This window comes from Homo sapiens, chromosome 12 (genome assembly GCF_000001405.40).
Source record: "Homo sapiens chromosome 12, GRCh38.p14 Primary Assembly".
NCBI lineage: Eukaryota > Metazoa > Chordata > Mammalia > Primates > Hominidae > Homo > Homo sapiens.
In genome coordinates this window covers 104,376,758-104,398,683 of record NC_000012.12, presented here as the reverse complement: position 1 = coordinate 104,398,683, position 21,926 = coordinate 104,376,758, and the positions used below count along the sequence as shown (strand labels likewise).

Below are 21,926 nucleotides of genomic sequence, written 5' to 3'. Positions count from 1 at the left end.
CAACAGGGCGAGACTCCATCACCAAAAAAAAAAAGAAACCCTGAAATCTCCCTGTAAAGAAACCCTCTACCTACACTCATCTTGTGATATCATAAATACTATTTTTATTCTTCCAGTTGCCAAAAACCTTGTGTATTAATTATATATTGTGGCATAACAAATTGTCCCAAAATTTAACAGTTTAAAAAGCACACATGTATTATCTCAGTTTTGTGGGTGAAAAATCTGGATATGGCTTAGCTGTCCCCTCTGCTTTGGTGTCTTTCTCAAAGAACAGTCACACTGTTGACTGGTGCCGTGCTCTCATCTCATGGCACAACTGGGAAGGATGCACTCCAAGCTCACGTGGTTCAAGATTCAGTTCATCAGGGGTAGTTGGACTGACATCTTCAGTTCCTGGCTGGCTGTTGGTCAGGGGCTGCCCTCAGTTCCTTGCCATGTGGGCCTCTCAACAAGGCAGATTGCTTCACTGAAGTGTTAAAGCCAAGAAAGCAATGGAGAGAATCTGCCAGCAAGACAGAAGTCACAATCTTGGTGATATATCCACAGAAATGAGATCCCATCAACTTTGCCGTAATCTATTCATGATTAAAAAAAAAAAAAAAAGGGCGGGCAGGGTGCGGTGGCTCACGCCTGTAATCCCGGCACTTTGGGAGGCCAAGGTGGGTGGATCATGAGGTCAGGAGTTCAAGACCAGCCTGGCCAAGATGGTGAAACCTGTCTCTACTAAAAATACAAAAAATTAGCCAGGCGTGGTGGCGCACGCCTGTAATCCCAGCTACTCGGGAGGCTGAGGCAGAAGAATTGCTTGAACTCAGAGGGTGGAGATTGCAGTGAGCCCAGATTACGCCACTGCACTCCAGCCTGGGCAACAGAGTGAGACTCTGTCTCAAAAAAAAAAAGTCACTAGGTCCATCACAGACTCAAGAAGAAAGTTATACAAGAGCATGAATACCAGGAGGTGGGGGTAACTGTGAGCTGTGTCATAAACTGCCTACCGCATTGGAGTCATCCTCAATTTCTCACCTTCTCTCATATCCTCTATCCAATACTTCAGGCAGTCCAGCAGGCTGCAACTTCAAAGCAATTGACTCAGCATCAGTTTGCTGATGGTTTGCTCAAATGTCACCTGTTCAGTGGCATTTAACCATCTTACTTAAAATTGCAACTCACCCACAGACACACATATTCCCACTCCTCTTCCCTCATTTTTCTTTATAGCAGCAATCACCATCAGACATTCCAGATATTTAATCGTCTTTTAAATTTGCTCTCTCTCCACCTTAGCATGTAAGCTCTGTGAGGGCAGTGGTTTTTACCTGTTTTGTTTGCTGCTGTATTCCCCAGGCCTAGTGCAGCACACACAAAACAAATATTGTGGAATGAATAAATGTTAAAATACATGGAAATATGTTCTCTTTTTTAAAAAAAAACCTAAGGGAACACCTTATTCAAAGAATGTCAAAGATTCCATCATCTATACACACATAAGTATAGACTCTGTTGGTTTCACTAGGCTCCTAAATGGAGACCATCACAGCTCTAGCCACCTACTACCCATTCCTAACCCCTCCTATACCAAAACCAGGTGAGATTGGCCAAAGGAACAGGCTCCATTTCAGCCTCAAAATTCTGGGGTGGTCTCTGACTTAGCCTTGAAAACCACACTCCATGGACCTCCTGGTCTAAAACTACAGGGGACACTCTGCCAAGGAAGCCCTTAACTCCAAAAGACCCTGCCTGCCAATGGGCAGACCATGGTCATGGGTAAACAGCAATGGGAGGCAGCCAAGGACAGAAGGAACCGGGTGTATTTTTCTGCTTAATGACCAATGGCCAAGAGGCTCAAGGGACTCTTTGTAACCTAGAGCGCCTCAAACTTTTCCACACCAGTATCGTTTGGGGCAGCAAAAATGATCACTGAACCCTGGGGGCTTGGAGGTCTAGACTGAAGCTGACCAGGAAGTTAGAAATGTATCTGCTCATCTTAGTTTTCACTTTAAGATTCACCTGGATTTCATATATTCCCCAGTAATGTAGCTGCATTGAATTTAATGCAACAATAATGCTTTAAATTACTTACACATTTTTTCAAAAAATTCTACCTTTTTTTTCAGTCAATGAATGCAATGCTAAAGTACCAAGAAATTCTGGAAAATTTGTACTGAATTGAAGTGAGTGCATACTGCAAGCAGATTCAGGGCAATTTCTTTTCATGATAGCTGGAAAATTCAGATGCTCATAAACATTTGGGTGCAGAAGGCAGATGGCAGACAGCAAGGAAGTCTCAGGGGAGAAAGTACTGTCAGGGAGGAAGTACCATGCACCTCTTTGAGGCTCCTATCCATGGACATTCTGTATTAGACCATTCTCACACTGCTAATAAAGACATATCCAAGACTGGCTTATTTATAAAGAAAAAGAGGTTTAATGGACTCAGTTCCACGTTCCTAGGGAGGCCTCACAATCATGGTGTAAGGTGAAGGAGGAGTAAAGGCACGTTTTATATGGTGGCAGGCAAGAGAGAGTGTGCAGGGGAATTCCCCTTTATAAAACCATCAGATCACGTGATATGTATTCACTATCACGAGAATAGCATGGGAAAGACCTGCCACCATGATTCAATTACCTCCCACTGGGTCCCTCCCACAACATATAGAGATTATGGGAGCTACAATTCAAGATAAGATGGATTTGGGTGGGGATACAGCCAAACCATATTAATTCCATAAACATCCTCTTAGACAGCAAGAAGCTGGTATCAGATGGTGGAATTTAGCAGTCTCTGATCCCAGTTGCTCTTTCTCTCTTTTTTTTTCTCTCTCTCTCTTCCCCTCCTTAGAAAACAGTTTTCAAAAGATATTTCCATGAACTAAGATGAAAGTTATTTCCATGAACAAAGATGACTGATTTTTTTTGTGTTCTATTTTATCACCAAGGCTGTAACTTTTGTCACCTGAAAATGAATTAAGCCTCCAAAGACTCAGTCTCCATAATCAATTATAGCCATTGATATCTCAAATTTCATTGTCATCCTATCAATCTTGTAAAATACAATAAAAGCAATAAAATAAAATAAAATTTGAACTAATTCAGCCTTTTTAAAAAATCTGCTAAATACAGTATTGAGGGCTAGGCTTTCCTATTAGGTCAAACACTAAATTCACAGGTTTACCCTTTGTCCTAATGTCTACTTAAAACTTGGCAAACAAAAATAACTCAGGCCTGAATTCAGTCCTCGACAACTGAGATTGCTTCTTCCCTTGACAAAGGCTGCAAACATCTGTGTAGAAGTCATCAAAGTCACTCCCCATTTCAATATAAGTTATGAGAAGAGATAAGTACCCAAACTACTTTTATTTCTACTCTTTTCAACACTCCATGGAACACAATGAGAAACACTCTGGTGTGAGAGGCCATACGTAAAGGAAGCAGCACCTTCTGGAATGTTCGGGGTGATAAATAGCGTTGATGCAAGTTTCTTCTGCTGCTTTTTTACCAATCACACAATTGGCCTCGTTTTCACAACATATTTGCACTTTTTTTTTTCTTAATCAGTGTTATGCTTGTTAAAATACAAATCTGGTCAACAATTCACCAGTTATTATCTGACACATTGCAAAGTAGCACCTCTCTCAGTGAGATGCTATCATACAGACCCTGGGGCTGACTGCCTGGGTTGGAATCCCATCTAGCTCTACCAATCTCTGGCTGTGTGGTTGTATCTTCTAAGTGCCTCAGTTTCCTTATCTATAAAATGGCTCTTGAATGAGTTAACATGAATGGAGCACTGACCCATGGCAGATCAGAAGTTCTATATGTGTGAACTGTTACTGTATTTCATTGTATGCAATATGTTGTTAATTATAACATGCACCATTATTTTATATATCACTGAGGAAGCAAACAGAAGACGCTACTAATTAAATTATGACATAATACTTTCTTAGATCTCTCAAAATTTTTAAGACTTATTGAGGGGGTGGAGCCAAGATGGCTGAATAGGAACAGCTCCAGTCTACAGCTCCCAGCGTGAGCGACACAGAAGACGGGTGATTTCTGCATTTCCAACTGAGGTACCGGTTCATCTCACTGGGGAGTGTCGGAAAGTGGGTGCAGGACAGTGGGTGCAGGGCACCCAGCATGAGACAAAGCAGGGTGAGGCATCCCCTCACCTGGGAAGTGCAAGGAGTCAGGGAATTCCCTTTCCTAGTCAAAGAAAGGGGTGACAGATGGCACCTGGAAAACTGGGTCACTCCCACCCTAATACTGCGCTTTTCCAATGGTCTTAGCAAATGGCACACCAGGAGATTATATCCCGTGCCTGGCTCGGAGGGTCCTGCACCCACGGAGCCTTGCTCCCTGCTAGCACAGCAGTCTGAGATCAAACTGCAAGGCGTCAGCGAGGCTGGGGCAGGGGCGCTCGCTATTGCCGAGGCTTGAGTAGGTAAACAAAGCAGCTGGGAAGCTCGAACTGGGTGGAGCCCACCGCAGCTCAAGGAGGCCTGCCTGCCTCTGCAGACTCCACCTCTGGGGGCAGGGCATAGCCAAACAAAAGGCAGCAGAAACCTCTGCAGACTTAAATGTCCCTGTCTGACAGCTTGGAAGACAGTAGTGGCTCTCCCAGGACGCAGCTGGAGATCTGAGAAAGGACGGACTGCCTCCTCAAGTGGGTCCCTGACCCCCGAGTAGCCTAACTGGGAGGCACCCCCGAGTAGGGGCAGACTGACACCTCACACGGCTGGGTACTCCTCTGAGACAAAACTTCCAGAGGAACGATCAGGCAGTAGCATTTGCTGTTCACCAATATCCGCTGTTCTGCAGCCTCTGCTGCTGATATCCAGGCTAACAAGGTCTGGAGTGGACCTCCAGCAAACTCCAACAGACCTGCAGCTGAGAGTCCTGACTGTTAGAAGGAAAACTAACAAACAGAAAGGACATCCACACCAAAACCCCATCTGTATGTCACCATCATCAAAGACCAAAGGTAGATTAAACCCCAAAGATGGGGAAAAAACAGAGCAGAAAAACTGGAAACTAAAAATCAGAGCACCTCTCCTCTTCCAAAGGAACACAGCTCCTCACCAGCAACAGAACAAAGCTGGACGGAGAATGACTTTGGCGAGTTGAGAGAAGAAGGCTTCAGACGATCAAACTACTCTGAGCTAAAGGAGGAAGTTCAAACCCACGGCAAAGAAGTTAAAAACCTTGAAAAAAAATTAGACAAATGGCTAACTAGAATAACCAATGCAGAGAAGTCCTTAAAGGACCTGAAGGAGCTGAAAACCATGGCACGAGAACTATGTGATGAATGCACAAGCCTCAGTAGCTGATTCGATCAACTGGAAGAAAGGGTATCAGTGATGGAAAATCGAATGAAATGAAGCAAGAAGAGAAGTTTAGAGGAAAACGAATAAAAAGAAATGAACAAAGCCTCCAAGAAATATGGGACTATGTGAAAAGACCAAATCTACATCTGATTGGTGTACCTGAAAGTGACGGGGAGAATGGAACCAAGTTGGAAAACAGTCTGCAGGATATTATCCAGGAGAACTTCCCCAATCTAGCAAGGCAGGCCAACATTCAAATTCAGGAAATACAGAGAATGCCACAAAGATACTCCTCGAGAAGAGCAACTCCAAGACACATAATTGTCAGATTCACCAAAGTTGAAATGAAGGAAAAAATGTTAAGGGAAGCCAGAGAGAAAGGTCAGGTTACCCACAAAGGGAAGCCCATCAGGCTAACAGCTGATCTCCTGGCAGAAACTCTACAAGCCAGAAGAGAGTGGAGGCCAATATTCAACATTCTTAAAGAAAAGAGTTTTCAACCCAGAATTTCATATCCAGCCAAACTAAGCTTCATAAGTGAAGGAGAAATAAAATCCTTTACAGACAAGCAAATGCTGAGAGATTTTGTCACCACCAGGCCTGCCCTAAAAGAGCTCCTGAAGGAAGCACTAAACATGGAAAGGAACAACTGGTACCAGCCACTGCAAAAACATGCCAAATTGTAAAGACCAGAGAGGCTAGGAAGAAACTGCATCAATTAACGAGCAAAATAACCAGCTAACATCATAATGACAGGATCAAATTCACACTTAACAATATTAACCGTAAATGTAAATGGGCTAAATGCTCCAATTAAAAGACACAGACTGGCAAACTGGATAAAGAGTCAAGACCCATCAGTGTGCTGTATTCAGGAAAACCATCTCAAGTGCAGAGACACACATAGGCTCAAAATAAAGGGATGGAGGAAGATCTACCAAGGAAATGGAAAACAAAAAAAGCAGGGGTTGCAATCCTAGTCTCTGATAAAACAGACTTTAAACCAACAAAGATCAAAAGAGACAAAGAAGGCCATTACATAATGGTAAAGGGATCAATTCAACAAGAAGAGCTATCTATCCTAAATATATATGCACCCAATACAGGAGCACCCAGATTCATAAAGCAAGTCCTTAGAGACCTACAAAGAGTCTTAGACCCCCACACAATAATAATGGGAGACTTTAACACTCCACTGTCAACATTAGACAGATCAATGAGACAGAAAGTTAACAAGGATACCCAGGAACTGAACTCAGCTCTGCACCAAGCAGACCTAATAGACATCTACAGAACTCTCCACCCCAAATCAACAGAATATACATTCTTTTCAGCACACACTACACCTATTCCAAAATTGACCACATATTTGGAAGTAAAGCACTCCTCAGCAAATGTAAAAGAATAGAAATTATAACAAACTGTCTCTCAGACCACAGTGCAATCAAACTAGAACACAGGATTAAGAAACTCACTCAAAACTGCTCAACTACATGGAAACTGAACAACCTGCTCCTGGATGACTACTGTGTACATAACAAAATGAAGGCAGAAATAAAGATGTTCTTTGAAACCAAAGAGAACAAAGACACAACATACCAGAATCTCTGGGACACATTAAAAGCAGTGTGTAGAGGGAAATTTATAGCACTAAATGCCCACAAGAGAAAGCAGGAAAGATCTAAAATTGACACCCTAACATCACAATTAAAAGAACTAGAGAAGCAAGAGCAAACACATTCAAAAGCTAGCAGAAGGCAAGAAATAACTAAGATCAGAGCAGAAATGGAAGAGCTAGAGACACAAAAAACCATTCAAAAAATCAATGGATCCAGGAGCTGGTTTTTTGAAAAGATCAACAAAATTGATGGACCGCTAGCAAGACTAATAAAGAAGAAAAGAGAGAAGAATCAAATAGACGCAATAAAAAATGATAAAGGGGATATCACCACCAATCCCACAGAAATACAAACTACCATCAGAGAATACTATAAACACCTCTACACAAATAAACCAGAAAATCTAGAAGAAATGGATAAATTCCTCGACACATACACCCTCCCAAGACTAAACCAGGAAGAAGTTGAATCTCTGAATAGACCAATAACAGGCTCTGAAATTGAGGCAATAATTAATAGCTTACCAACCAAAAAAAGTCCAGGACCAGATGGATTCACAGCCAAATTCTACCAGAGGTACAAGGAGGAGCTGGTACCATTCCTTCTGAAACTATTCCAATCAATAGAAAAAGAGGGAATCCTCCCTAACTCATTTTATGAGGCCAGCATCATCCTGATACCAAAGCCTGGCAGAGACACAACAAAAAAAAGAGAATTTTAGACCAATATCCCTGATGAACATCGATGCAAAAATCCTCAGTAAAATACTGGCAAACTGAATCCAGCAGCACATCAAAAAGCTTATCCACCATGATCAAGTGGGCTTCATCCCTGGGATGCAAGGCTGGTTCAACATACACAAATCAATAAACATAATCCAGCATATAAACAGAACCAACGACAAAAACCACATGATTATCTCAATAGATGCAGAAAAGGCCTTTGACAAAATTCAACAATGCTTCATGCTAAAAACTCTCAATAAATTGGCTATTGATGGGACATATCTCAAAATAATAGGAGCTATCTATGACAAACCCACAGCCAATATCATACCGAATGGGCAAAAACTGGAAGCATTCCCTTTGAAAACTGGCACAAGACAGGGATGCCCTCTCTCACCACTCCTATTCAACATAGTGTTGGAAGTTCTGGCCAGGGCAATCAGGCAGGAGAAGGAAATAAAGGGTATTCAATTAGGAAAAGAGGAAGTCAAATTGTCCCTGTTTGCAGATGACATGATTGTATATCTAGAAAACCCCATCGTCTCAGCCCAAAATCTCCTTAAGCTGATAGGAACTTCAGCAAAGTCTCAGGATACAAAATCAATGTGCAAAAATCACAGGCATTCTTATACACCAATAACAGACAAACAGAGAGCCAAATCATGAGTGAACTCCCATTCACAACTGCTTCAAACAGAATAAAATACCTAGGAATCCAACTTACAAGGGACGTGAAGGACCTCTTCAAGGAGAACTACAAACCACTGCTCAATGAAATAAAAGAGGATACAAACAAATGGAAGAACGTTCCATGCTCATGGGTAGGAAGAATCAATATCATGAAAATGGCCATACTGCCCAAGGTAATTTATAGATTCAGTGCCATCCCCATCAAGCTACCAATGACTTTCTTCACAGAATTGGAAAAAACTACTTTAAAGTTCATATGGAACCAAAAAAGAGCCCGCATTGCCAAGTCAATCCTAAGCCAAAAGAACAAAGCTGGAGGCATCATGCTACCTGACTTCAAACTATACTATAAGGCTACAGTAACCAAAACAGCATGGTGCTGGTACCAAAACAGATATATAGACCAATGGAACAGAATGGAGCCCTCAGAAATAATGCCGCATATCTACAACTATCTGATCTTTGACAAACCTGACAAAAACAAGAAATGGGGAAAGGATTCCCTATTTAATAAATGGTGCTGGGAAAACTGGCTAGCCATATGTAGAAAGCTAAAACTGGACCCCTTCCTTAACACCTTATACAAAAATTAATTCAAGATGGATTAAAGACTTAAATGTTAGACCTAAAACCATAAAAACCCTAGAAGAAAACCTAGGCAATACCATTCAGGACATAGGCTTGAGCAAGGACTTCATGTCTAAAACACCAAAAGCAATGGCAACAAAAGCCAAAATTGACAAATGGAATCTAATGAAACTAAAGAGCTTCTGCACAGCAAAAGAAACTACCATCAGTGTGAACAGGCAACCTACAGAATGGGAGAAAATTTTTGCAATCTACTCATCTGACAAAGGGCTAATAGCCAGAATCTACAATGAACTCCAAAAAATTTACAAGAAAAAAACAACCCCGTCAACAAGTGGGCGAAGGATATGAACAGACACTTCTCAAAAGAAGACATTTATGCAGCCAAAAGACACATGAAAAAATGCTCATCATCACTGGCCAGCAGAGAAATGCAAATCAAAACCACAGTGAGATACCATCTCACACCAGTTAGAATGGCGATCATTAAAAAGTCAGGAAACAACAGGTGCTGGAGAGGATGTGGAGAAATAGGAACACTTTTACACTGTTGGTGGGACTGTAAACTAGTTCAACCATTGTGGAGGTCAGTGTGGTGATTCCTCAGGGATCTAGAACTAGAAATACCACTTGACCCAGCCATCCCATTACTGGGTATATACCCAAAGGATTATAAAACATGCTGCTATAAAGACACATGCACACGTATGTTTATTACAGCACTATTTGCAATAGCAAAGACTTGGAACCAACCCAAATGTCCATCAATGATAGACTGGATTAAGAAAATGTGGCACATATACACCATGGAATACTATGGAGTCATAAAAAATGATGAGTTCATGTCCTTTGTAGGGACATGGATGAAGCTGGAAACCATCATTCTCAGCAAACTATCGCAAGGACAAAAAACCAAACACTGCATGTTCTCACTCATAGGTGGGAACTGAACAATGAGAACACATGGACACGGGAGGGGGAACATCACACACCGGGGCCTGTTGTGGGGTGGGGGTAGGGGGGAGGGACAGCATTAGGAGATATACCTAATGTAAATGACAAGTTAATGGGTGCAGCACACCAACATGGCACATGCATACATATGTAACAAACCTGCACATTGTGCACATGTACCCTAAAACTTAAAGTATAATAATTTTTAAAAAAGACTTATTGAAAGTAATTTTTTAGACTTATTTAGACATCTCATGTGTCACCCTTGGGCACTCAAAATAGGAAAACAAGTGAAAAAGGTTGGTTAAGTTATTCCCAAACTTTTTCAGAGAGTCTAAATCTTGTTTGTGATTTTCAGCTCAATCTTGTCATTGTGTGTATCTTTCAATACAAAATCACCCTTTGCCATCAAGAGCGTTGATGAGGAAGCAGTTCTTACAAAGATGCTATGGTGAGGTCTCAGAGGTTTCTCCCAGGCTGCTGACACTCACTCATTCTGCAAATTTTGTTCCCGGGTCTTTCTGGATCTCACCAGAAGGTGTCGGCAATGACAACCATGTTATGACCTTGTGTCAATGACTGTAAGACACTGATCTTAAGACCCATCCTAATTACACAGCTGCTAAAAATGTATGTGGGTTAGGGGGTGGGGGGCCGTAGAATTGCAGCTTAGAACCAATGAAATGTTACTATTATTACATTTTCATTACAGATAGAGCAAATAAAGCTTGCTAAAATGCTTGAATCATCAATGTCACCCCTTCATCAAATGGTAAGGTAAAGAACCACTAACCTGTATCAGGATCTCAACTAGTTCAAATGCAATTTCTGAACACTTTCAATTTGTCATTTCACAAAGGCATGATTTTCAGCGTGGTGCTTAATTTTGACCCAAATCAGGTTCATGCAATTCCACCAAGGTTTTTCTTGAGATGTTCAGGTCACTGTCCAAGTAGTTCTCAAAGGAAATGTCAATTTTTACTTATATATTTGATTATGCATCTGTAGGAATAAGAAACACACATGATGTTGATTCCCTTCAATCAACTTCTCTTTATCTGCGCTGGGCTGCCTTGCCTGTGATTCCTGGGCACACTCTGAAATAGAGTTGCACCTGAGCAGTGGTTCTCAAATCTGGCAGCAGTACAGTGCCCTGGAGAGCTTAGTGACAAAGAGCATAAGGAATGGTTGCTTCCACAGAACACCTTCTCCAAAAGTGGCTCTTTTTCAACAACTTTTGCAAGGTAATACATTGATTTTGTAGGGGTGTTAACATGTGATGAAAGAAGTGAACGCAGCTATGGGGAGGGTTTAGGTTACAATGCTGTCTGCCTCAATCACAAGTCCAACCCCAGCCAGATGAAATAATTTGGCAGTTTGCCAGCTACCCAGGAAGAGTCCAGCAGCGTGGTCAAGCAGCTCGCTGAGATCCTGAGGGAGCTTGTCCCTTTCCGTCCCTCCTCTCTGCCACACTCAGCGTTGGCTTCATCAGAAGGCTGGAACCCTCACGACTGTAGAGTGACTTCCAGGAAAATCGGAGTAATGTGCTCACTGAGGAGGCCCTAGGAAATGGCAACCAACTGATTCACCTGTTTAGAAATTACTGTGAGGGTTCTTTAGAAGAAATAAAATATAGAGACTACTGTAAAATAATTCAAAGGATGTTTTTAAATACTCATAATCCCAGCAGTCTTACAAAGACCTTACTTCCATTTGTTAATTATGACTTTCTCATTTTAATTCCTCACAGCATATCTATATAGTTTTGTGTATAATTTTTTCTCTTAGTATCTTTATGTAAACATTTCTTCATGTTTTATAGTCATTGCGTTATTTTAAATAACAGCATGGCATTGCTTTTTATTGAGATACCACAGCTTGCTTAACGAAACTCTATGATTTCTTCCAGTGATTCACTGTTGCAGGCCGTGCTGTGATGAAAATTTTTTGCATATGGCACTTTTATACACCTACTGCATAAATAATTTTCATTTTCTTTCTTGCCCTGTGGAAAAGAAAGGAACTTTCTCAGGACCTCCAGCAAACAGTTCCTCAGCTGCATGGGTCACATGTCTGTTCCTGAACCAATCATCAGAAGGGGGTGGGGAGTGTCCTAATACCCGCCAGTCCCACCCCAGAGCTGCCCAGAACAGTGCCTGGCCCTCAGCAGTGCTCAACAAATATGTGGCGAATGAATGAATGATTTCTTAAATGGACAGTCCAGCTTCAGTGAGCAACTACATCAAAGCAGCTGAGAGTCCTAAAGTTGCCACCTGGGCTTCTAACACACTCCTTGCTTTCACTGGCTGAAACTATGACTGATAGCATGGCAGAGAAGCCAGTGTCTCTGGGAAATCATTGAACTATATTGATTATGTAGAAATTTATTTATAAAGTCTCATTATAGGCTATCTTCCTCACTTCCCAGCTTCTCTTACTTTTCCAAGAAAGATTTCTAATTAGTCATAAGTCTATTAAGGAGTTAGAGGAGGAGGAGGAGGACGAGAAACTTTGATGGTCTCAGAGGAAGAAACAAACATGACAATGTGTAAGACTTTTTAAATGAATTTCTTTTCTTTTCTTTTCTTTCTTTCTGTTTTTGAGACAAGATCTTGCTTTGGAGTGCAGTGGCACGATAACAGCTCGCTGCAGCCTTGACCTCCTGGGAAGTTATCCTCCCACCTCAGCCTCCCAAGTAGCTGAGACTACAGGCACAGGCCACCACACCTGACTTTTTTTTTTTTTTTTTGTAGAGACAGGGTCTTGTTATGTTGCCCAGGTTGGCCTCAAACTTTTGGGATGAAGCAATCCTTCCACCTTGGCCTCCCAAAGTGCTGGGATTATGGGCGTGAACCCCCAAGCCTAGCCTTAAAATTAATTTCTATTGGCTTCATTTGTTAAAGTTGACAAGGTGAGATTGCTATTACTAGCATTTATCTTTACTGAATTTGATCAAATTTATTCTCTCCTTTGCACACTGGAAGTGCAAGTAACATTTCTTCCTTCTCCTGCTCCTCCTCCTGATAACAATGGTGATGATGATGGTGATGATGGTGGTGGTGATGGTGATGTTGGTGGTGATGATGGTGGTGGTGATGGTGGTGGTGATGGTGGTGGTGATGGGGGTGGTGACGGTGATGTTGATGGTGGTGGTGGTGGTGGTGATGGGAGTGGTGATGGGAGTGGTGATGATGGTGGTGATGACAATAACAAACATATATTAAGACTTACCATGGCTGGGCATGGTGGCTGATGCCTGTAATCCCAGCACTTTGGGAGGCCGAGGCGGGCAGATCACCTGAGGTCAGGAGTTCGAGACCAGCCTGGCTAACATGGTGAAACCCTGTCTCTACTAAAAATACAAAATTAGCCGGGCTTGGTGGCAGGCGCCTGTAATCCCAGCTACTCAGGATGCTAAGGCAGGAGAATCACTTGAACCTGGGAGGCAGGGGTTGCAGTGAGCCATTGCACTTCAGTCTGGGCAACAAGGGCAAAAACTCCACCTCAAAAAGACAAACAAACAACAACAACAACAACAACCAAACCACATGTCAGGCACTGTTTAAAATGCTTTATATGCATTAAATCATATAATCTCTCAACAGTTGTCTCAAGTAGGTACTATTATTTTCCTGATTTTACAGATGAGGAAACCAAAGCAGAGAGGCTATACAGTATTAGATACTGGGCAAAACATGGAAGCAGAGGGAACTACCCACCCACCTGGGCATGCCAAAGACCACTAGTTAGGTATGTTGTGTGGCTGATTCTTCTACCTATAACATAGTTTTGATTTGGACCTTAAAGATTGGGCAGTTCCATTAACTCATTGCATTGGATAGATTCAGATAGGCTATGCTACAGTGACAAGCATTCCCCAAATTTCCTAAGTTTGTTTCTTGGTTATATAAGCAGGTAGGTGCGGGTAACAATCCAGGGTGCCTGTTCTCCATGCAGTGACACACAATCCAGGCTGCTTCAGTCCATCTCGAGAGAAGGCCTCTACATTTATCATGGCAGGGAAGGACAGAGGCTGAAGTGTCACATGGAGGCTTCCACTGACTCAGCCTGGAAGTAACACACCTCACTTGTGCTCACTTTCATTGGCCAAAGCTAGTCATTAGTCATGTGCCCCCACCCAAAGAAGGAGAGGAGAGCTGGGTATTGATGAGCACCAGTAATGTTCACCATACTCACTCATTCAGTAAGTAAGTACCTTCCAGGCCAAACAGGCAATGTGCTAGACTCTGGGTGTTTTAATCCATTCAGGCTGCTATAACAAAATACCACAGACGAGGTGGCTTATACACAACAGAAATTTATTTCTCCCAGTTCTGGAGGCTGGATGTCCAAGATCAAGATGCCAACAGATTCAGTGTCTGGTAAGAGCCTACTTCCTGGCTCCTAGACGGTGCCTTCTCACTGTGTCCTCACGTGGTGGAAGGGGCAAAGGTCTCTCTGTGGCTGTTTTTATAAGGGCACCAATCCCATCATAACAGCCCAATCCTCATGACCTCGTCTAAACCTAATCACCTCCCAAAGGCCCCACCTCCTCATACCATCACCTTGGGGGTTAAGTTTTCAGCATATGAATTTTGAGGAAACACAAACATTCAAATCATAGCACTGGGGATATAAAGATAAAACCACATGAAGCCCTTTCCCAATCCTTATTTATTTTGAACTGAATCTGTTTTCGCAGAGTGCTACACTGAATAATGGCCCCCAAAGACATCCATATCCTAATCTTTGAAACCTGCGAATATGTTACTGCCCATGGTAAAAGAAAATTTGCAGACAGGTTATTAAGGATCTTGAGATGAGAAAACTATCCTGGATTATCTGTATGGGTCCAAGGTACAAATCCTTAAAAGGATGCAAGAGGATCAAATTAGTAGCAGAAGATGGGGTGACAGAAGAAAGAGGTTGGAGAGATGTAAGAAGGGGTCACAAGGCCAGCAACGTGGATGGCCTCTGGAAGCTGGGTAAAGCAAGGGAATGGATTTTCCCCTGAGGTCTCCGGAGAGAACACAGCTCTGCCAACATCTTGGTTATAGACTTCTGACCTCTAGAACTGTAAGAGAATAAATTTGTGCTGTTTTTAGCCATTCTATTAGTAGTAATGTGTTAGAGCAGCAATTGAAAACAAGTAAACCTATGCTAGGGCTGGGATGGGAGAGGTACAAAAATTAGTGACAATAGGAATGGCAGGGCATGGTGGCTCACGTCTGTAATCCCAGCACTTTGGGAGGCTGAGGTGGCGGGATCACCTGAGCTTAGGAGTTTAAGACCCAGCCTAGGCAACATGGTGAAACCCTGTCTCTACTAAAAACACCCCCCTCCAAAAAAAATTAGCCAGATGTGGCAGTGCACACCTATAATCCCAGCTACTTAGGAAGATGAGGTGAGAGGATCACTTGAGCCCCAGAGGCAGATGTTGCAGTGCACTGTGATCATGCCACTGCACTCCAGCCTGGGTAACAGAGTGAGACTATGTCTCAAAAACAATAATAATAATAATAATGGCCGGGCGTGATGGCTCACGCCTGTAATCCCAGCACTTTGGGAGGCCAAGGCGGGTGGATCACAAGGTCAGTAGTTTGAGACCAGCCTGGCCAATATGGTGAAACCCCATCTCTATTAAAAATATAAAAATTAGCTGGACATGGTGGTGTGCACCTGTAGTCCCAGCTACTCAGGAGGCTGAGGCAGAAGAATCACCTGAACCTGGGAGGCCGAGGTTGCAGTGAGCCAAGATCGTGCCACTGCACTCCAGCCTGGGTGACAGAATGCGATTCCATCTCAAAATAAATAAATAAATAAATGTGATAAAATAATAACTGCCAATGTCCATCAAGCACTTACTCGATGCTGGGGCTGGCATGGTGGCTCCCTGCCCGTAATCTCAGTGCTTTGGGAGGCCAAGGTGGGAGGATCACCTGAGCCCAAAAGTTGAAGGTTACAGTGAGCTATGATCGTATCACTGCACTCCAGCCTGGACAACAGAGCAAGATCCTGTCTCTAAAAAAATAAAAAATAAAACTTCACTACACTATGAGATGAGATGAGTGTCTTTATTATCTCCAGATGACAGTTGTGAACCTGAGGCTCACGAAGGTTAAGTAACATTAAGTAACATTCCTAAGAGGGCACCATAGCTGTGGGTGGTCAAGACAGGATTTGGACTCAGTCCAGAATCTAGCAAAGATGTGTACAAGTCTTGCCCAAGGCACACTGCTAGCGGCAGAGGCAGGACAAAACCTTGAGCCTCCCAACTGACTCCAGAGGACTCTTTCCCTAAAGTATACTTAACGTGGTGGGGTAGATCAAAGTATCTGCAGGGGGCAGGATCTGGAAGGGGTGTGGGCATTGAGCCAGCCTGGAAGGGACGTGGAGCCCAGGGTAGATTCTTTAAGATTCTTTACAGGCCTGGCCGGGGTGTTGACACTTCATAACCACACAGAGGCTCCGCGTGGGCATGCTTGTCTCAGCAGCCCACACGGAGGTAGGTGCTTCTGACATCTCGCAGGAGCCTCCAACCAGCACCACCTCTCAAGCCTTCCCTCCTTTGTCAGTAGGGAAGTCAGAGAAAGTATTACCAAGTCCACCAACCCAGAGCTCGTGGGGTCCTTGCAGCTTCTAGACTCTAAAGTGCATCTCACTTAAAGAACAAATGCCCCACAGACCAAATCTAGCTAAACAGAGGTTCTTCGGTCCACTGTTGGCCTCCAAGAGCAACTGTATGTTTTGAGCGCCACCTAGTGGTACCCAGGGCCCCCAGCGTTTTTGACTTCTCAAACCTGCCCTTAAGGACGGAGCTCCTACCTCCCGCCTCGGAGGTCTCTCCAGGTAGGCTAAGGTGACTTAGAGGACCGCCAGCCCCTTCTGGTTCCAGAGCTCTTCAGAGAGGTCCAAGGCCAACTGGTTCCTCGAAACTGTGGGTTTACATCGGGACTGCCCCATCCTGGGCTCTGCCTGTCAAGAATGCTGTCCTGGATTAGGGCACAGGAGAATGCGTTTTGTCATTGATCTGGAGGGAGGGAAGGCATGTGGAGGAATCAGCATCTCATTTCAATGTGAGAGAAACTAATGGAGGGAAGAGAATTTTTTAAAGCTAGTGAGAACACACATTCATTTGACAACTTAGTTAAAAAGGACCGATTCCTTGAAAAATACAAATGACTACAACTCACCCAATGTGAACTAGATAATTTGAGTATGCCTACAACTGTTAAGGAAATCGAATTTGCAATTTTAAAACTCCCAAAAAAGAAGTCTCCAGATCCAGATGGTTTCACTGAAGAATTCTACCAAATGTTTAAAGAGGAATTCACACCATCTCTCTACATTCTCTTTCAGAAAATAGAAGAGGAGGGAACACTTTCCAATTCATTTTATGAAGATAGTATTTCCCTGATATTAAAACCACAGATAGGAATGAGTACAGTGGCTCACATCTGTAATCCTAGCATTTTGGGAGGTCAAAGTGGGAGGATGACTTGAGCCCAGGGGTTCAAGACCAGCCTGGGCAACAAAGTGAGACACTGTCTCTATAAAAATTACAAAAATTAACCAGGCATGGTAGCATGTGCCTGTAGTCCCAGCTACTCGGGAAGCTGAGGCCAGAGGACTGCTTGAGCTTAAGAGGTTGAGGCTGCTGGCTGGGCACGGTGGCTCACACCTGTAATTCCAGCACTTTGGGAGGCCGAGGTGGGCGGATCACTTGAGGTCAGCAGTTCGAGACCAGCCTGGCCAAGATGCCGAAATCCTGTCTCTACTAAAAATACAAAAATTAGCCAGGCATGGCGGCACATGCCTGTAATCCCAGTTACTCAGGAGGCTGAGGCAGAAGCATCACTTGAACCTGGGAGGCAGAGGTTACACTGAGCCAAGATCGCGCCACTGAACTCCAGCCTGAGCAACAGAGAGAGACTCTGTCTCAAAAACAAACAAACAAATAAATAAAACCAAGGTAGTAAAAAAAACCTACAGATCAATATCCCTCATGAATATATACATGAAAATCCTTAACAAAATATTAGCAAATAGAATTCAGCAATATATCTCAAGGATTGTACAGGATGACCAACTGGAGTTTATTCCACAGATGAAAGGGTAGTTGAATATTTGAAAATCAATCAATGCAATCCACCATATTAACAGGTGAAAGAAGAGAAATAATATGATCATATAAATTAATGCAGAAAAAGCATTTGACAAAATTCAGCACCCATTTGTAAAAAAAAAAACTTACAAAACTATAGCTAACACACTTAATGCTTGAAAGACTAAATGCTTTCCCCCACAAAATTAGTGACAAGGCCAGGAGGTCCATTCTTTTTTTTTTTTTTTTTTTTTTTGAGACAGAGTCTCACTCTGTCACCCAGGCTGGAGTGCAGTGGCATGATCTCGGCTCACTGCAAGCTCCACCTCCCGGGTTCACACCGTTCTCCTGCCTCAGCCTCCCGAGTAGCTGGGACTACAGGCGCCCGCCACCACGCCCGGCTAATTTTTTTTTTTTTTTGTATTTTTAGTAGAGACGGGATTTCACCGTTTTAGCCAGGATGGTCTCGATTTCCTGACCTTGTGATCCACCTGCCTCTGCCTCCCAAAGTGCTGGGATTACAGGCGTGAGCCACCACGCCCAGCCAGGAGGTCCACCCTTATTCAGCATAGTGCCAGAAGTTATAGCTAGTGAAGTCAGGCTAGAAAAAAGAAAAAGGCATACAGTTTTGCTTATGTTTGCAAATCAAGAAGATTAAGGTCACTTATGAAGCATAACGGGCTTTGTCTGCTCAGGGATTCTTCACACTGGTCTTCATCTTAATTTATTTTAACACTACAGAGATGAGGAAATCACTTGAGAAATTTTGTAATGAACTAGCAAAGCCCAAGTTCCACTCCCCATGACTGGCTTCCTCTGGTCCAGGGTAGGGCCTGAGCATCTGAATTTTGTAACACTGCCCAGGTGATTCTAAGGTGCACATTTAGCAAATGTGAGAACCACTTTACTAAAGGGAGAGCTTCCAAAAAACACCCAAATACAGCGCATCTCCAGGTTTGGTTCCTGACCAGTTGGCAGCCTCAGTGTCACCTGGGAGCTTGTTAGAAATGCCCAGCCCCAGGCCGGGCGCGTTGGTTCACGCCTGTAACCCCAGCACTTTGGGAAGCTGAGGTGGGAGGATCACCTGATTTCAGGAGTTCAAGACCAGCCTGGTCAACTTGGTGAAGCCCTGTCTCTACTAAAAATACAAAAATTAGCTGGGCATGGTGGCATGTGCCTGTAATCCCAGCTGCTTGGGAGGCTGAGGTGAGAGAATCACTTGGACCCAGGAGGTGGAAATTGCAGTGAGCCGAGATCACATCACTGCACTCCAGCCTGGGTAAAAGAGTGAGACTATGTCTCAAAAAAAAAAGAAAGAAAGAAAGAAAGAAATGCCCAACCCCAGACCCCACCCCAGACCTACTGAATGAGAAACTCTGAGGATACGACCCAGAGATCTGCTTTTTCAGAAGCCCTCCTCTGATTCTGATGCCCACTCAAGGCTGAGAACCTCTGCCTCAGCAGACGAATTCTAGGAGAAACTGATTCACAAACTACAAACTAAATCTGGTTAAAAAGCATCGAGAACATTGTTCAGCCTCCGTGGTGATCAAAAGAAAGGCAATGTAAAAACAGCAGTGAAATCCCATGTGACACCTGTCAAATTAGTAAATTTCAAAATCAGGCAAAGAAATAATAGTACTTCATGATTCCCTTTTCACACAACTAGGTTAGTACAACCATCTAGTTTGCCAAGGACTGAGGTTCCCAGAATTTGAGGTTTTCTGTGCTAAAGCCAGAAAGTCTCTGCAAGCCAGGACCAGTTGGTCCTTCCATACAAGACTCATCAGATTGGTATCACTATGGTTTACTCTCTGTTGTCCCCATTGGACTGTAATCCATAGGGACAGGACCCTGTGTGTCTTGTATTATAGCCTTCTCAAAGGCATCAGAGTCTAGAGGGGAGGAGAATGAGTGCTGAGTTCGGTCTGTCTGGCTTCAAGTCCTAACTCCACAGATTATCAGCTGTAAGACCTTGAACAAGCTATTTCTACTTTCTGTACCTCAGTGTTCTCATCTGAAAAATGGGTATGATAAGAATGACACAGGACTGATCTCATGGGGATATTGTGAGAATTGAACATGAGTTACTGCATGTGACCCACTTAGAATAGTGCTGGGCATATAGAAAGTGCTCGATGATGTTAGCTACAATTATGAAAGGAGGGGAGCCCGCAAACCCCATTTGAGAGATTGGAAGTAATCGCATGGTGGTTACAGAAGCTGTAGGTGGCTGGATTTTCTGGATGGTGGATAGACAGCAGTCTCTGGCTACCTCCAAAGGGTCAAGAGGGAACTTTTCAGGGTGAGGAAGATGACACAGGGGGGCCGCAGGCTGCCCCTGGCCTTCCCCTTTCTGGGTCCCCTACTCATTTTCCCTTAGACAGACTCCCCAGTGCCTGGGGTCCTCAGGGATCCCGGCCTAAAACTACACTTTCCATTGAATTCTCACTTGAGGAGGCCCGGGGCTCTCACTGGAGAGGCCACCCCAGGAGGGTGGATGCTTCTGTTCATTGTTGAGGAACCAGGACTGAGCTTCTAGCACAGGGTAGGTACTTTGTAACTATTTGTTAAATGATTAATTTTAATGAGTCAATTTTGTTTTCTTTGTTTTTATTTTTGTTTTTGTTTTTTTTGATAGGGTCTCTCTCTGTCACTAAGGCTGGAGTGCAGTGGCACAATCTCCACTCACTGCAACCTCAACCTCCTGGTTTCAAACAATCCTCACACCTCAGCTTCCCAAGTAGCCAGGACTACAGATGTGTACTAACATGCCCAGCTAATTATTGTATTTTTTTTCTTTTTAGAGATGGGGGTCTCACTATGTTGCCCATGCTGGTCTTGAACTCCTTGGCTCAAGCAATCCTCACTCCTCAGCCTCCCACAGTCCTGGAATGACAGGCATGAACCACTGTGCCCGACCTACATACCTTTTTAATTATCGTCATCTATCAGTGCCCAGATCTGCCTCATCTCTGGTCCTGCCCTTGATCAAGACCCTCCCAGCTGTGTCCTTCCTGTTGGGTCATGAACCAGGAAGCAGAATGGCCATACACAAAATGGCTGCACCTGGGAATCCCCCAGGGGTCCTCTCCCCATTCGCCGCCTCGACTTGAGAGATAGCAAAGGGAAAGAGAACATACTGGATGCAATAGTCAGATGCCTAAATCGTCTTCTTTATCACCGTCATTAGGAACCTAACACAAGAGCCCTGTGTCCTGGCTCCTCAATGGCATTGCACATATTCTCTCGGCTCTGAGGCGCTAAATAGCCTGGTTGTTAGACTTAATGGGAGCGTCCGTCCAGAAGAGAGTGCTTGTGAAAGCAATGAAGGCTGAATTCACTCCACTCTTCCCCTCACCCTGCCCTCTGGAATGGATTATCCTTCCTGTGTGTCCCTCCGGGACATGCCACTACCAACGCTATAACAAACTTGCTCATCAGTTTCCCTTTCCTAGCCCGTGAGTTTTCGAAGGACAGGGACCCTGTTCATTCATCATTTGTTTAGGGAACCCCTACCTAGGAGGTGCCTGGTACTACCCTAAATAAGGCAAGCAGAGATGAATAAGACACAGCCGAGGAATTTATAACTAGCCACCTCCTGTCTTACTCATCTCTGCCTCCTTGGCATTTAACACAGTGTCTGGTAAATAAGACACATGTTTGTTAAATAAGTGGATGAATATCCCTAAATGACCCCAAATCAGGCTATGGAAGGGGCCGTAACTAAAATCCATTGTAGCACTGCTGTGGCAATCTAGGCCTCCTTCCCGCCCCTGCCCTCGCAGAGGGGCAGCGATGGGGACAGGCCAGCTTTGAGTCACATAAGGACTGAAGGTATCCTTTACAGGGCAGAGCAATAGCAGTGCAGCCAGCTACTGTTCTTAGCCCGGTCCTGCCTTTTGTGGAAGAGAGA

At 43.7% G+C, this 21,926-nt stretch overlaps 1 long non-coding RNA gene across 2 annotated transcripts, besides 1 other annotated feature; it reads right to left on the bottom strand.

The window, feature by feature from the left end:
* Nucleotides 1-84: 84 nt before the first annotated feature.
* Nucleotides 85-21,565, bottom strand: LOC105369949 (uncharacterized). 2 transcript variants are annotated; one of them, XR_007063432.1, is made up of 4 exons: nucleotides 20,941-21,565; nucleotides 16,732-16,898; nucleotides 10,700-10,908; nucleotides 85-505 (listed from the first exon to the last, which is right to left on the bottom strand). It is a non-coding gene; the product is annotated as an uncharacterized LOC105369949 (long non-coding RNA). The 2 variants fall into 2 exon arrangements; XR_007063433.1 differs by lacking the exon at nucleotides 20,941-21,565 and having other exon boundaries at nucleotides 1,027-10,908; nucleotides 16,732-17,362.
* Nucleotides 14,067-14,267: a silencer, noted in NCBI's record as "peak1927 fragment used in MPRA reporter construct". NCBI's record gives its function as "represses an SCP1 promoter by STARR-seq MPRAs in K562 erythroleukemia cells {active_cell/tissue: K562}" and the evidence as "EXISTENCE:reporter gene assay evidence [ECO:0000049][PMID:32103011]".
* Nucleotides 21,566-21,926: the final 361 nt, after the last annotated feature.